The following is a 16,536-nucleotide window of genomic DNA, read 5'->3' as shown; positions in this document are numbered from 1 at the left end:
CGAAGAGGTCCTTCACATCCCTTGTTAGCTGTATTCCTAGGTATTTTATTCTCTTTGTAGCAATTGTGAATAGGAGTTCATTCATGATTTGGCTCTCTGCTTCTCTATTGTTGGTGTATAGGAATGTTTGTGATTTTTGCACATTGAATTTGTATCCTGATACTTTGCTGAAGTTGCTCATCAGCTTAAGAAGTTTGGGCTGAGGTGATGGGGCTTTCTAAATATAGAACCATATCATCTGCAAACAGAGACAATTTGACTTCCTCCCTTCCTATTTGAATATCCTTTATTTCTTTCTCTTGCCTGATTGCCCTGGCCAAAACTTCCAATGCTATGTTGAATAAGAGTGAGAGAGGGCATCCTTGTCTTGTGCTGGTTTTCAAAGGGAATGCTTCCAGATTTTGCCCATTCAGTGTGATATTTGCTATGGATTTGTCATAAATAGTTCTTATTATTTTGAGATATGTTCCATCAACACCTAGTTTATTGAGAGTTTTTAACATGAAGAGATGTTGAGTTTTATCGAAGGCCTTTTCTGCATATATTGAGGTGATTGTGTGGTTTTTGTTATGGGTTCTGTTTATGTGATGGGTTACTTTTATTGATTTCCATATTTTGAACTAGGCTTGCATCCTACGGATGAAGCCGACTTGATCGTGTGGATAAACTTTTTGATGTGCTGCTGGATTCGGTTTGCCAGTATTTTATTGAAGATTTTCCCATTGATGTTCATCTGGGATATTAGCCTGAAATTTGTTGTTGTTGTGTCTCTGCCAGGTTTTGGTATCAGGATGATGCTGGCCTTATAAATTGAGTTAGGGATGAGTCCCTCCTTTTCAATTGTTTGGAATAGTTTCAGAAGGAATGGTACCAGCTCCTCTTGGTATCTCTGGTAGAATTTGGCTGTGAATCCGTCTGGTCCTGGGCTTTTTTTGGTTGGTAGGCTATTAATTACTGCCTCAGTTTCAGAACTTGTTATTGGTCTATTCAAGGATTTGACCTCTTCCTAGTTTAGTCTTGGGAAGGTGTATGTGTCTAGGAGTTTATCCATTTTTTTTAGACTTTCTAGTTTATTTGCATAGATGTGTTTATAGTATTCTCTGAGGGCAGTTTGTATTTCTGTGGGGTAAGGGGTGACATCCCCTTTTTCATCTTTTATTTTGTCTATTTGATTCTTCTCCCTTTTCTTCTTTATTAGTCTAGCTAATGGTATGTTTTGTTAATTTTTTTTTAAAAAAACAGCTCCTGGATTCATTGATTTTTTGAAGGGTTTTTCATGTCTCTATCTCCTTCAGTTTTGCTCTGATCTTAGTTACTTCTTGTCTTCTGCTAGCTTTTGGATTTGTTTGCTCTTGCTTCTCTAGCTCTTTTAATTGTGATGTTAGGGTGTCAATTTGAGATCTTTCTAGCTTTCTGATGTGGGCATTTAGTGCTATAAATTTCCCTCTTAACACTGCTTTAGCTGTGTCCCAGAGACTCTGGTTCATTGTCTCTTTGTTCTCATTGGTTTCAAAGAACTTCTTGATTTCTGCCTTAATTTCATTATTTACCCAGGAGCCATTCAGGAGCAGGTTGTTCAATTTCCATGCAGTTGTGTGGTTTTGGGTGAGTTTCTTAATCCTGAGTTCTAATTTGATCGCACTGTGGTCTGAGAGATTGTTTGTTATGATTTCAGTTTTTTTTTGCATTTGCTGAGGAGTGTTTTACTTCCAATTATGTGGTCAATTTTAGAATAAGTGCCATATGGCACTGAGAAGAACGTATATTCTGTTGATTTGGGGTGGAGAGTTCTGTAGATGTCTATTAGGTCCACTTGATCCAGAGATGAGCTCAAGTCCTGAATATCCTTGTTAATTTTCCGTCTTACTTATCTGTCTAATATTGACAGTGGGGTCTTAAAGTCTCCCACTATTATTGTGTGGGAGTCTAAGTCTCTTTGTAGGTGTCTAAGAACTTGTTTTATGAATCTGGATACTCTTGTATTGGGTGTATATATATTTAGGACAGTTAGCTTGCTCTTCTTGCTGAATCGATCCCTTTACAATTATGTAATGCCCTTCTTTGTCTTTTGGATCTTTGCTGGTTTAAAGTCGGTTTTGTCAATGACTAGCATTGTAACCCCTGCTTTTTTTTTTCTTTCCATTTGCTTGGTGAATTTTCCTTTGTCTATTTTGAGCCAATGTGTGCCTTTGCACGTGAGATGCATCTCCTGAATACAGCTCACCAATGAGTCTTGACTCTATCGAATCTGCCAGTCTGTATCTTTCAATTGGGGGATTTAGCGCATTTACATATAAGGTGAATATAGTTGTGTGAATTTGATCCTGTCATCGTGATCCTAACTGGTTATTTTGCACACTAGTTGATTCAGTTTCATCATAGTGTCATTGGTCTTTATATTTTGGTGTGTTTTTGCCGTGGCTGGTACTGGTTTTTCCCTTCCATATTTAGCTCCTTCAGGAGCTCTTGCAAGGCAGGCCTGCTGGTGACAAAATCCCTCAGCATTTGCTTGTCTGGAAAGAATGTTATTTCTCCTCTGCTTAGGAAGCTTAGTTAGGCTGCATATGAAATTCTGGGCTGAAAATTCTTTTCTTTTGGTCCCTACTCTTTTCTGGCTTGTAGGGTTTCTGCTGCGAGATCTGCTGTTAGTCTGATGGGCTTCCCTTTGTAGGTGACGTGACCTTTCTCTCTGGCCACCTTTACCATTTTTGCCTTCATTCTGACCTTGGAGAACCTGAGGATTATGTGTCTTGGGGTTGATTTTTCTCGTAGCATATCTTAGTGGTGTTCTCTGTATTCTTAAATTTTAACGTTGGCCTGTCTTACTAGGTTAGGGAAGTTCTCCTGGACAATATCCGAAGAGTGTTTTCTAACTTGGTTCCATTCTCCCTGTCTCTTTTTTTTTTTTTTTTTTTTTTTGAGGTGGAGTCTGGGAGTCTGGCTCTGTCGCCCAGGCTGGAGTGCAGTGGCGCGATCTTGGCTCACTGCAAGCTCCACCTCCAGGGTTCATGGCATTCTCCTGCCTCAGCCTCCCGAGTAGCTGGGAATACAGGCACCTGCCACCACGCCCAGCTAATTTTTTTTTTTTTTTGTATTTTTAGTAAAGATGGGGTTTCACCGTGTTAGCCAGGGTGTTCTCAATCTCCTGACCTCGTGATCCACCCGCCTCAGCCTCCCAAAGTGCTGGGATTACAAGCATGAGCCACTGCTCCTGGCCTACCCCATCTCTTTCAGGTTCTCCAATCAATCGTAGGTTTGGTCTTTTTACACAGTCTCATATTTTTCGGAGGTTTTGTTTATTCCTTTTCATTCTTTTTTCCTCTAATTTTGTCTGCATGTCTTATTTCAGCAAGATGATCTTCAAACTCTGATATCCTTTCTTCCACTTGTTTGATTCAGCTATTGATACTTGTGTATGCCTCACAAAGTTCTCGTGCTGTGTTTTTCAGCCCCATCAGGTAATTTATGTTCTGCTATAAACTGGTTATTCTAGTTAGCAGCTCCTGTAACCTTTTATCAGTTCTTAGCTTCTTTGCATTGGGTTAGAACATGCTCCTTTAGCTCAGCGGAGTTTGTTATTATCCACTTCCTGAAGCCTACTTCTGTCAATTCATCCATCTCATCCTCCATCCAGTTCTGTCGCCTTGCTGGAGATGTGTTATGATCATATGGAAGAGAAGAGGCACTCTGGCCTTTTGGGTTTTCAGTGTTTTTTTAATTGATTCTCATCTTCATGAGTTTGTCTAGTATCAATCTTTGAGGTTGCTGACCCTTAGATGGGGTTTTGTGGGGCCTTTTTTTGTTGATGCTGTTATTGTTGCTGTTTGTTTTTCTTGCAATGGTCAGGCCCCTCTTCTGTAGAGCTGCTGCAGTTTGCTGGGGGTTCACTTCAGGCCCTATTCATCTGATTTGCTCCCACACCTGGAGATGTCACTCAAGGAGGCAGGTTGGAGAACAGTAAAGATGGATGCCTACTCCTTCCTCTGGGATCTCTGACCTTGAGGGGCACTGACCTGTTGCCAGTAGGAATGGTCTTGTATAGGGTGTCTGACAACCCCTTTTGGAGGGTCTCACCCAGTTGGGTGGCACAGGGAGCAGGACCCGTTTAACAAATCACTTTGACTGTCCCTTGGTGGAAGGGATGTGCTTTGCTGGGGGGAAACACACTCGTCTGCACTCCCCGGATGCCTCAGAATTAGCAAGAGGAAAGATTAAGTCTGTTTGTCTGCAGAGACTGTGGCCACCCCTCTCCCTAAGGGCTCAGGCTCACGGAGATCAGAGTTCTGACCTTGAGCCCCTGACTGGAGTTGCTGGAGTTCCCGTAGGGAGGCCCAGCGCAGTGAAGAGGGATGGGTCAGTGTCAGGCCTGAATAGGCACTCTGGCTGCAGTCTGCCACAGCTGGTGTGTTTGGCTGTTGGTGATAGCTCTTGGAACCAAGCCATCCAGCTTCCCTGGCTCCAGTAGGAAAAAAGGGTGGCCTGGAGCCTATAGAAATGGCTGCCACCCTTCCCCCACCCTGGGAGCTTGTTGTGTTAGGCAACTACCAGTCCCAGTGTTGGCTGTCGCCTCTCTTCCAAGGAGCTCAAAAGGCTTAGACAGCAGGCAGCCACAGCTCTGGTGCTGGCTGCCCCTCCCCCTGGGAGCTTGGTAGGCTTAAGCAGATTCTAGCTGAGTGGCTGTTGAGAATCTGCTCTGCTCTGTGGCTGGGACCCTAGGCCCTGGTGGTGTGGGCTCACAAGTGAGGTCTTCAGATCTGTGGGTTGCACAGTTCCATATAAAAAGCACATTTTCCCAGGCTGGGTAGCATGCTCACTCACCACCTCCCTTGGCTTGGGGGGTGGGGGCTCCCCTGCCCTGTGTGGCTCTCAGGTGGACAGCCACATCACACTGGCTCTTCCTTCCTCTCTGTGGGTCACACCAGCTGCATAGTCCGTTCTGATGACAGAACCTGGATACTTCAGGTGCCTGTGCAGGATTTGCATGCTGTTATGGTTCTTTTCGATGAGATCCTCCAATCACGCTGCTTCCAGTTGGCCCTTAGTCTTCAATTTTCATAAGTGAGGCTTTGAAGTTTTTAGTATGTGTCATAAACATATTTTGTGAGATTTAAACCTAAGTATGTCATAATTTTTATGCTATATAAATGGGGTGTGTTATTAATTTTAATTTCTGATTTAAAAATATTTTTAGTGTATAGATATACAATTGATATTTATATAATGGTCTTTAATTAGTCTTGCTAAACCCATTTAATAATTCTAGTTTTTTAAAAAAAATCCTTTGTATTTTTCTTCATTAAATACAGTTTTAAATATTCCTTTCCAAACTGAATGATTTGTATTTATTTTTCTTGCCTCATTGCATTGGGTAGAATTACCAGAACAATATTGAAATGGAAGTTGTGAAAGCCAGCATCTTTGCATTTTTTATCTTTGAGGCAAAGCACCCAGTCTTTTCCCATTAACTATGATGTTAGCTGTAGGTTTTTCATGAAACTTCACGCAGTTGAAGAAAACGAGGAGGTGTTAGAATTTCAACATATGAATATCAGGGGGACAAACATTCAGACAATAACACTGGCTCTGTGTAAGCACTGGAAATCTAACCTCTAATTCTCTCTCTTGGTTCTGTCTCCAGACTCCGGACATTTTCTTCTACATATACACTTATAATTAATCAGCTGGATATTTAAATGAGACTCTTCAGATTCCCCCAAAATTCAGACTTTGTACAGCTGTCTCCTCTCTAACTCTCTGTGCTATAGACTCTAGCTGTTTTGGAATCTTAAATTCTTGTTCTCAACTCAGGGAGTCCTCTGGGACTCCACCTAGAAGATTCCTCCCTGTGTGTGTTGTCTGGAAACTCTTTTAGAACAAAAAGCTGGGGCAATCATAGGGTTCTACTCATTTTTCCTCCATCGCTCAGGGATCACTGTACTTCTTTACATGATATTCAGTATCCTAGTAATCACCTTTTTCATATATTTTGTCCATTTTTTGGTTATTTCAGGTGGAAATGTAAATCAGTCCATGTTACTCACCTCGGAGAAGCAGAAGTACGATTTACTATTGTTGCTTGCTTACTTACTCTTATCAATTTCTATGAGAGGTATGATTTTCTATGACTTTTCATTTTTCAAAATCTTGAATTTCTATTATAGATTCATGTTTATATATGTGTTATATTTGTTTGTGCAATAACCTCATGATAATTATTTTTCTACTGGTTTCATGTTCCTGAATGACATACTAGTAGTAACAATACCTCAAGCTATAAAGTATATTTTTAAATATATATGATTGTGATTTTTTGAATTTTTTTTCTTTTAATAATTGGATTCTGTTACCCTAAAAAGAATCTAGTTTTCAGGCAAGCTTTTATTTAATCTCTTTTGGCTTTATAGACAGGAATATATTTCTGCTTCCATTTTCCAAAGTGTTTGCTTGTGAAACATAGGATTTGGAAAATCTGAGTACAAAATTATCAGGAAGAAGTAAAAATCTCTGATAATATATCACTTAATCATGATTTCTACATGAATTAATGCTGATCCTAGGCTTCAAGAAAACAAAGATTTTTGTCAGGTTTTAAAATAATACATTGGTGGTGTCATAAACAAGGTTTGTCATAAATATTCATTGAATGAATGAGTAGATAAATGCATAAAGAAATGTAATATTTAATCAATAAGGTAATGATTAATAATGTGGTAAATTGTGAACGGTTATAAATCTAGGTAGCAATCATTTGTGGTGGAAGTGAAATATTTCAAAAAGCAACTTTAGAAATTGTGGTAAAGATAATTGATTTGGCCAGTAGTCAATTTATAATATATATTGGAAATACATTAGTCGTGTTTATAAATAAAACAAATAAAGTTGGCAATTAAAGTTATTGTCTGCCGGCATAATGTGATAGATGCTTGTAGTTCTAGCTACATGGGAGGCCGAAGTGGGAGGATAGCTTGAGGTCAGAAGTTTGAGTCCAGCCTGGATAGCATAGCAAAACCTCATCTCTAGTAAATTTTACAACTATATAAATAAATAAATTTGTTATTTATATAACTTCTACTTTCTTCTTTTCACCAATCTAAATTTTCTAACTGATAGAAATTTGAAGTGTAGGAAAAAAAAGTTTGGTTCTTTCAGCCTTTGATTTTGCTTTGTAAACATATCTATTTGAGCATAGTTGAATTGAATGTGATGGTAAATATAATTGTTTCACATCAATAGGGTTTGGAGAAAAATAACTTCCCACAGTGACATTGCTGAAGTGTCTATGGGGCTCTGTTTCCATCACTGCCAATAAAGACAGTAGGCACTTTAAAAGCAAACATTTCTGTAAGTACATCAAATTAAAGAATTACGTGATGGGACTTTACAGTCTCTTTACAGTGAAGAAACTGAAAGCTTGTCAGTTATCTATAACTTTACAATTATCTAAATACTTGATACTTTGTAAACAGTATAATTGTCTAGTTGATGGTCTTTTTTGGTGTTCATCTTGATACTTAGTATATGAATTCCTTCTTGAAGGAAATATACAGTAAGAGAGGGAGGTAAAGAAAAACAACAAAAAAAGTATACCTATGCCTATTTATACCTATTACTATACCTATTTAGTACATTCATTTAGTAAATATTTACTGAGCACAAATTAGACATAGATATATATTTCTCAATGTTGGGAATTCATCAGTGAACAAAACAATAAATAAATAATATACATAATAATTAAGTTGATTATATAAACATTAAATAATATAGATTATAGGAGGTGACAATTACTGCATAAGTAAACACAGCATGTTAAAGATCAGGAGTGCTGGAAGTAAGAGGGTGGCCAGGGCAGGGCCAAAGAAGGTGATTGTGAAGAAAAGACTGGAAAGCAAAGAGGAAGTGGTTTCCATACATTTACTTATTTATTTCTTTCAATATACTTTTGATATACTCGTTATTTTTCTAACTCATTAATTTTCTGAAATTTAGAAGGTGAGGTTAGAGAGGTTAAGTGACTGTTTAAAGCTCCATGGCTGAAAAACTGCCAAACCATGATGGTCTTAAGTCAGACCGTCTTCAGTATCCTGGCCTCTTACCTTGTTGCTTCACTACGTGTCAAGAAGTAGGATCTATTAGATGTAGTATCTCACCATAAGAAAGGTAGATACAAAGACTAGAAGGAAAGAAGTAACCTTAATCTGCACTTGCATGTGGAAAATGCATATTTTTAAGAGGTAAGAGGTGGAAAGAAAGTAGAACAGGATTTGATGGAAAGGTAGGAGGAAGTGAAAGACTGGATGGAGCTGAGAGAAGTTCACAGAGATGGGACAGTTAAGGAGTATGAGAAAATAATGCATATGTTGATTGTTAAAAACTCATTACTCTTCTTGAAAAGATTACCTTCTAAGCCAGGTGGAGGAAAAAATTAGATTGAAAAGATCTGATAGACAAGACTGTAAGAGATAAGAAAGTACATGCCAGAGGCTTCACTTTTTATTTCCCAAGTCGGATCATGAAAAGTTGGGAAGACTGAAGGAGGCAAACTGAAGGAAAATGAAGGTCAAAACAGTTGTGGGTATTTTGCCATAATAATGTCTTAATAAAGAGGTTAATCACAGGGCGCAGTGGCTCACGCCTGTAATCCCAGCACTTTGGGAGGCCGAGGCGGGCAGATCACCTGAGGTCAGGAGTTTGAGACTAGCCTGACCAACATGGAGAAACCCCGTCTCTATTCAAAATACAAAATTAGCTGGGCGTAGTGGTGCATGCCTGTAGTTCCAGTTACTCTGGAGGCTGAAGCAGGAGAATCGCTTGAACCTGGGAGGTGGAGGTTGCAGTGAGCCGAGATAGCACCATTGCACTCCAGCCTGGGCAACAACAAGAGTGAAACTCTGTCTCAAAAAAAAAAGTTAGTTTATATTTGTATACAAAGGAAGGTATTGGTAGGTAGAAAGAGTAAAGACCATAGGTGGTGTGGAAATTTCTGATGGAGCAGATTCCCTAACTGAATAGACAGTGGTAAAATTATATGAGAGTTACAAATGAATTCTTTATCTTTGGTAAGAAGAGAAGTGGTAGGGCTTCATCTGAATTACATAAAAAAGGGTAAGAAAGGTGAAAATATAAAAAAGAAGTAAATGATTAAGAACATTACCTGAGAAGCAAGGGAAGGTCAATAGGAAGGACAGTGGTCACTCTCTTCACAAGAGCAGCATTTTAAAATAATTTCTACTTACATTTATAAGTTAGATAATATTCCTTCAGGTCCATAAACCATCCACTCAAAGGTGCTGCCCCTTAAATAGCCACTAAAAGTAATTATAAATGCCACAGATTTTCCTCTAACCTGAACTTTACAGAATTCAAGAATTGACCAAAACATGGCTGCCACCTTTCCAATTACCTTATGGGACTGGACATGATAGCAGGCAGTCACAGGACCTTTGACAGACATTTTTTTCATTATGGCTTACAAGATCTATCTTGTTTCTTGACTTGCAGTTACTTCCACTATGAGGGCTTTGTTTTGTTTTGTTTTGTCTTTTTTGTAAATGAGAATTGAAATGTTCAAAATTTTCACCAAGCCATGAAGAATTCTATTTTTCAGCCAAACTCTCTTTTTTTTCCAAGCAGGACACATAAAATTTAATTTCCTGACCTCTTCTGCTGATGTATAGCAGTCATTTTTCCACAACATTAGACTAGGTAATCTATTCTTAGGGGAACCTCGTCAAGCCTGACTGATATTCAGCATTTTTCTTTCTTTTCCCTATTTCATATTTTATTTTTTGCTCTTTTTTCCCCTTCATATTTTCTGCAGTGGAAATATGATAATAGTAATAAAACACCTAGGAAAAAATAGAACGTATTTACCAATCCATGATGCTAAGATGAAGCAAGAGAGAAAGGTCATGTTTTCCATTCCTGAAAGTAAAGTAAAATAATAAATTTGCCTCTTGAGAAAAATCCATGGACTCCACTAGTAACATCCCATCTGTAGATTGTTCGGATAATGATTTCATTTTGGAAGATGAATTTTAGTATCTGCGAAAAGTACTAATATGATGACAGCTTTGAAGACCACTATCTTCTACTAATGCAAAGAAGACACAAGAATACTATTGGGTTTTCTACTGTCCTATCAGAATTAGTCAACACATTTATTTAAGGGGACTTTGAGTATGCCACCTTGTTTTCATGACAAGGCTGAGCACAGCACCAAGAGATTAGAGTAAGCATGTTTTCAATAGTCATGATAATGTTAGGTTCTTCCTGTTTTCTTTCTTTATCTTGTGGCCCATCAAAAAAAGGAACACAGTCAACATGTTCTCATTTTCTCTTTCCACAAACAAGACACTGGACGGTTGTCACATTGGAATAACTTCTACTCACAATTAATTTGTATCTGAATCAAACAACTGAGGTTAGAATGCAATGAGAAAAGCCCGTTCTAATTGCCTAGAGACCTAGGCCAGATTTGTCCAGAAGGTGGTGAGCAATGAACTGGTGCAGTTGGTTGGTACAGAGAGCTCATCTTGTAACATAATAAGCAGCATTAAGCATTAATTGAGAATTTTCTGTGATTGTGCCATTCTAACAGATACAGGGGAATAATTGTACAATTTAGTTGGAGACCTACTTATAAAAAGATAATACAAAGCCATACACTCTCAGCATCAAATGGATGATACTGACAGTAAAAGCTATAGGTCAGGCCAGGCACGGTGGCTCACGCCTGTAATCCCAGCACTTTGGGAGGCCAAGCAGACGGATCAAAAAGTCAGGAGCTCAAGACCAGCCTGGTCAACATGGTGAAATCCTGTCTTTACTAAAAATACAAAAATTAGCTGGGTGTGGAGGCGCACATCTGTAATCCCAGCTACTCAAGAGGCTGAGGCAGCAGACTCACTTGAACCTGGGAGGCAGAGGTTGCAATGAGCAGAGATTGCACCACTGCACTCCGGCCTGGGCGACAAAGCAAGACTCCATCTCAAAAAATAAAAATAAATAAAATATAGGCCAGAGGAGGGAGAGCCCAGCGGGTACCCTGAGGTGGTCAGAAAAGTCCTCAGGGTCTTGAAGAATGTATAAGAATGAGATAAGTGGGATATAAGAGGAGAGGTTTCCTGGACTGACGGAGTGGCACAAGTGAGAGCACAGCAGACCAGCAAGTACAAAGGAAGTAAGTCACGCCACCAATCTGATTGGTCACAATACAGTCCGGCATTATCAAAGTGCCCCCCAATTCCCACTCCATGTACTTCCATATTCAATTAAGATATATGTAGATAAATGTATATCCCATGTAATCTCTTACAATGCAAGTGATTTTTAAATTTCCAGTTATATGAATTGGAGATCCATCTCATTGAATTTCACTCAATTAATTATTTTATTTGGCTTTGTAGTCCAGGTAACATAGTGTGTCTTTTTTTTTTCCTATAAGAATACGTTGAAAACTTTATTATATATAATGCCAAATATTTTGCTTTTATATACATTTAAAAAGGCAGTTAGTATTTCATTAGCTAAATAGAACTATAGCATTTGAAATAATATTAGCCGGGTATGGTGGCTCACGCCTGTAATCCAGCACTTTGGGAGGCAGAGGCAGGCGGATCACGAGGTTAGGAGTTCGAGACCTGCCTGACCAACATGGTGGAACGCTGTCTCTACTAAAAATACAAAAATTAGCTGGCGTGGTGGTGCAAGCCTGTAATCCCAGCTACTCAGGAGGCTGAGGCAGGAGAATAGCTTGAATCTGGGAGGCGGAGGATGCAGTGAGCCGAGATTGTGCCACTCCACTCCAGCCTGGGTGATAGAGCAGGACTCTGTCTCAAAAAAAAAAAAAAAAAAATTACTGGAGTTTACACTGAAATCTATGTAGAGCACTGGCAATATAGAAAACAACTACCCCCAATGTTATATATGGTTTTAAACAAAAGGATTTGGGTTTTAGGGCAAAATTGAGATATTCAGTATACAAAATGCAAATGAAAAGTCAGATGAAGAGTTACACAGAGCAATGTCCAGAAGAGTCTAAACTCAGTAGTTTCTGTCCCCATGAGTTAATGTGCGCCACCCTCTCAGCATGTGAGTATCTTCACCAACTCACAATCTCTCTGAACCCCTAAATTTAGGGTTTTGTGGCAGTTCCATTTTACAGGCATGATTGATTAAATCATTGGCCATTGGTGATTGAATTTCCAGCTCCTCTTACCTCCCCAGAGGTGTGGGATGGTAGGGAGTGAGGCTGAAAGTTCTAAACCTCTATTCATTCTAAACCTCTGGCAACCAGCCTGCATCCTCCAAGAGTTACCTCATTAATATAAACTTAGGTATGGTTGAAAAAGGCTTATTATAAATAATGAAAGGTGGTAATCTCATTTCTATCACTCAGGAAGTTGCAAAGGTCTTAGAAGCTGTGTACATGGAACCAGGGACAAAGACCAAAGACCAAATATATATTTCTTATTTTATCATATCACACAGCTTCTGACTTTTTGGTTTTGGGTTTTTTGTTTTCCTCTCATTTTCTTTTCAAGATTTAAAAAAACTGGACACCTGTGAATCTAAAATAAGTTTTCATCCCCAATCTCTTTCCCTCTTGTCTAATTATCCACATTCTGATATATGTGGCACAAGGCTTCATTTTGGACATGGCAAATTTGAGATGAGATATACTTAATTCAAAAGTGACGAATAAATTTTTTTTTCTTTGAGGTAAGATAACTAAACTGTGATTATTGCTAGAGTAAATGAGAACCGAGTCCAAATATAAGTTGGAAAATAAGAATGAACGGTGCCTGGTATGCTGTAAGCACTCAATAATATTAGTTGAATTACTGAATGAATGAATGAATGAATGAATGAATGAATGAAATTCATCTATAACCCAGTTGCAATTAGTTTTGCTTGCTCCATAGTCCTAAATAACTTCAGAGATTTCCAACAACTGTGTTAACTTCAGAGCTTTTTATACTTCAGCCAGTACCTGAAGTTTTAAACCAATGCAATCTCTAAAGGGACACATGGAGAAACTGAGGCTGAAAGAAGAAATGCTGAATGATAAATTCCTGTCTTTACGGCCAGAGAACAACAAGGCTCAGTGGTGTCAAACTCCCATCTACTGTGTAAACCCAACCAACCAAATGAAAGAGCAGAAACTGTCAGAATGATGCTCTGATAAGGAATAAGAAAGGCTTCTTCAAAAAAAGTCCATTGCTGGAACAAGACAGTTTGTCGAGGGTGGGTGGAAAAGAAGAAATTGCCACATGAAACAGCAGAGCTCTGAGTTTAGATTTAAAAGTCCCCATGGTTGGAAGTGTTTGGGACTTCAATTGGCAATGTATTCCAAAGTACTTTCCTCTGGCTTTGATGAATCGTGGAATTGTCTCCTCGTGTACTCATTACCACTTTAAAAAAAAAAAAAAGGAGATCTGACAATCCCAGCAATCGTCTTTAGCTTCTGTTGTTTTCCATTAGCAACGGGAGCATATTCTTTTAGTGAAACACAAAAGCTGGTATCCCAGGCTACCGCTGCGCCATGTAGCATGCAGGGCGATTCACTCATTCGGAGAGACGCTCAGAAAGGTGGTTAGAGACTGTTTTAGCACTTTATTTGTCCCAATTATCTGTTCCTGCCTATTAGGGTGAATAGAACATCATGGCATTGTTTATCACGGGCTTTATATTTGCTAATAACACTGTTGTTTATTACCGCAAACATGCTGTATGCAGTCAGCTCCGCTTCTGTTAATCCCCACTGCTCCAAGTTCTGTTTTTTTCCTTTATATTTTTTCCTACCCAAGACAAATTAGATCCCACAACAAACTAAGTTTCCCACAGCTTCTGATTGTAAAGATGCCTTCTTGAATTGGGTTTCAGGTTGATTGGTTTCAGGCTGAAAACCCCAAAGAAAATAACAGGGTGATACTTACATGCAGGAATGGCTCTCTAACCATATTTCAAAGGCAAGTGCCTGCCTGGGCATTTCCTTCCAGGTGCTCGCAGCCTGAATTGCTGTAGTTCGTGTAACAGTCAGAGAAAAGAATGCAGCAAATGGTTGCCATTAGATCATTTAGACTTCCCCAAAGTCCTCTTCTTCCATACACTGTTTTACACAAACATATCCAGGGACTCTACATAGCCTGAGGCCTGCTGAATGTGCTTTTAAAAAATGCCCCTCATTTGGGCGTATGGGAAAGATAGTATCACTGTAGTCTATTATTCCCTGGACCACAGAGAAGTGCAAGAATTCTGTGTTGCTTCCTCTGAATAAGGTTGCTACATTTCTTTACTGAGAGCTTTATTTAATAAGCAATTAAGGTAGATGATTAATACCTAACTAGAAGAACAATTTCTCAACTATGCACATAGTAAATTATCTTTTGGGCCATCTCTCCTCCCTCTTGGAAGGTGTTTGTAATATGGGCTACTTAAAGATGTGCAGGTCATGATTAGAATATGGCAGTGAGGAAGATAGATCTTGTTAAACTAGATACAGATGCTACTCGACATATGATGAGGTTACATCCTGATAATCCCATCGCGTTTAAAATATTGTAAGTTCAAAATGCATTTAATACACCTAAGCTATGAAACAGCATAGCTTAGGCTAGCCTACTTTACTGTGTTCAAAATACTTTTATCAGCCTTTAGGTCGGCAAAATCATCAAACGTAAAGGCAATTTTATAGTAAAATGTTAAATATCTCATGTAACTTATTGAACACTGTACTAAAACTAAAAGTGAAAAACAGAATGGTTGTACAGGTACTCAAAATATGGCTCCTACTCAATGGGTATTTCTTTTATTTATTTATTTATTTATTTATTTATTTATTTATTTATTTGAGATGGAGTCTCACTCTGTCGCCCAGGCTGGAGTGCAGTGGCGTGATCTTGGCTCACTGCAACCTCCGCCTCCCGGGTTCAAGCGATTCTCCCACCTTAGCCTCTAGAGTAGCTGGGACTACAGGCGTGTGCCACCATGCCCGGCTAATTTTTTGTATTTTTAGTAGAGACGGGGTTTCACCGTGTTAGCCAGGATGGTCTTGATATCCTGATCTCATGATCCACCCTCCTCGGCCTCCCAAAGTGCTGGGATTACAGGTGTGAGCCATCGTGCCCGGCCCTCAATGGGTATTTCTTTTGTACCATCGTAAAGTCAAACAATCTTAAACTGAGCCAGAGTAAACTGGGGGATCTTCTGTAAATAGATTAATAAGAGAAACCAAAGAGAATATTTTGGAATACTTTGTTGAAAAGTATGTGCTAATTCACTGCAGATAATCAGAGACATTTATGTTTCTAACTGATACTAAAATGTAAGTTAACATGCTTGGGAAATACATGTTTAGGTTTTTTTTTTTTTTTTTTTTGGAATTTGCCACAGAAACATATGTTTATAGAAGACCAAAGGAGATCACTATGGAAGTGAAAAAAAATCTGTTTTTTGATTCAGTGTCTTTTTCGCATTAGAATCTTCATTAAGTTACTTAGTATTTTTGGGTTTCAGTTTCCTCATTGTCAAAAAGGGGACAAAAACCATCTTATAAGATTGTGCTAATTAGAAATAACTAATAATGATTAGAAATTTATAAATATTTGAGTCTTAGTAGAAGCCTTCAGTGGACATTTTCATCTTACATACTTGAAATGGAGATGTGCGAACTGAGTAATATTTCTACTAAACTAGCTGTCTTAACAGCAAGAGGCAAGTCCAACAATATACATTTAAATATAATCTGTTTTACCAGCTTGAGAAGGTGAAACAGAATACTTTTTAAAGCTCAGGTTAATGAAGGACAATAAGAATTTCTTCATGAACAAAAGAAATAATACAAGAAGGAAACAAGAAAGTAAGGTGCAATTCCAAAGTATTGGTCATGAGGCAATGGCCTTTTTAAAAGTTAGGAGAGTGTTGTAATTTGAAGTAGCTTGGTTAGAATACCCCATCCACAGAGAAAATTGATAAAATTGGAAAACAATATTTAACAACAATGAATTGTGGAACTTTGGAGGATATATACTCTTGAAATATTGACTGCAGTAGGTTAGGATTTGTGAATTTGAAGCACTTTGCCTGAGAGCACTTCTGGTTAGCAGGCCCCAGAGCCTGAAAAACAAGGTATCAGGCAGCAGAGTTTAAAGATGGTGACATAGTCAGAAAGTTAGTAGTGGACTCCTTCAAGGCAAAAAGCTGAAGAAATTAGTCTGAAAATATGAATATAAAAATCTATCCATACCCTTGGTTGACAATTAAACTATAATGTGAGAAAGGAGGACAATGTCTTAAGAACTTAAAGACAAAAGAGAAGCTGGAAAGTACAATAATTATATAGAGATTCAGTAGGCAGAGTTTGGAGTTTGAATCCAGAAGTTTAATTTTTTTTGCAACACAGAAATCATTCTTCAGAGGAAGATTAGAGAATTCAGAGCTTCTGTATAATGTACAGAATCCAAAAAGAGAAATTAAACAAAACAACAACAACACACATAAACTCACAAAAAACACTATGCATGTAAGGAAAAT

The 16,536-nt window shown here is 38.4% G+C and overlaps 1 long non-coding RNA gene across 1 annotated transcript in view, besides 1 other annotated feature; it reads left to right on the top strand.

Annotated features, from left to right (window-relative positions):
* The window catches only part of MIR924HG (MIR924 host gene), a 545,072-nt gene that overhangs the window by 357,458 nt on the left and 171,078 nt on the right, over positions 1 to 16,536 (top strand). The window lies entirely within an intron of this gene.
* Positions 4,374 to 5,083: an enhancer, noted in NCBI's record as "NANOG-H3K27ac-H3K4me1 hESC enhancer chr18:36969419-36970128 (GRCh37/hg19 assembly coordinates)". NCBI's record gives its function as "activates a minimal SCP1, AML or CMV promoter by ChIP-STARR-seq in primed H9 embryonic stem cells {active_cell/tissue: H9 hESC(primed)}" and the evidence as "EXISTENCE:reporter gene assay evidence [ECO:0000049][PMID:30033119]".

Source organism: Homo sapiens, chromosome 18 (assembly GCF_000001405.40).
Source record: "Homo sapiens chromosome 18, GRCh38.p14 Primary Assembly".
Taxonomy (NCBI): domain Eukaryota; kingdom Metazoa; phylum Chordata; class Mammalia; order Primates; family Hominidae; genus Homo; species Homo sapiens.
This window is presented reverse-complemented; position numbering and strand designations above follow the sequence as displayed.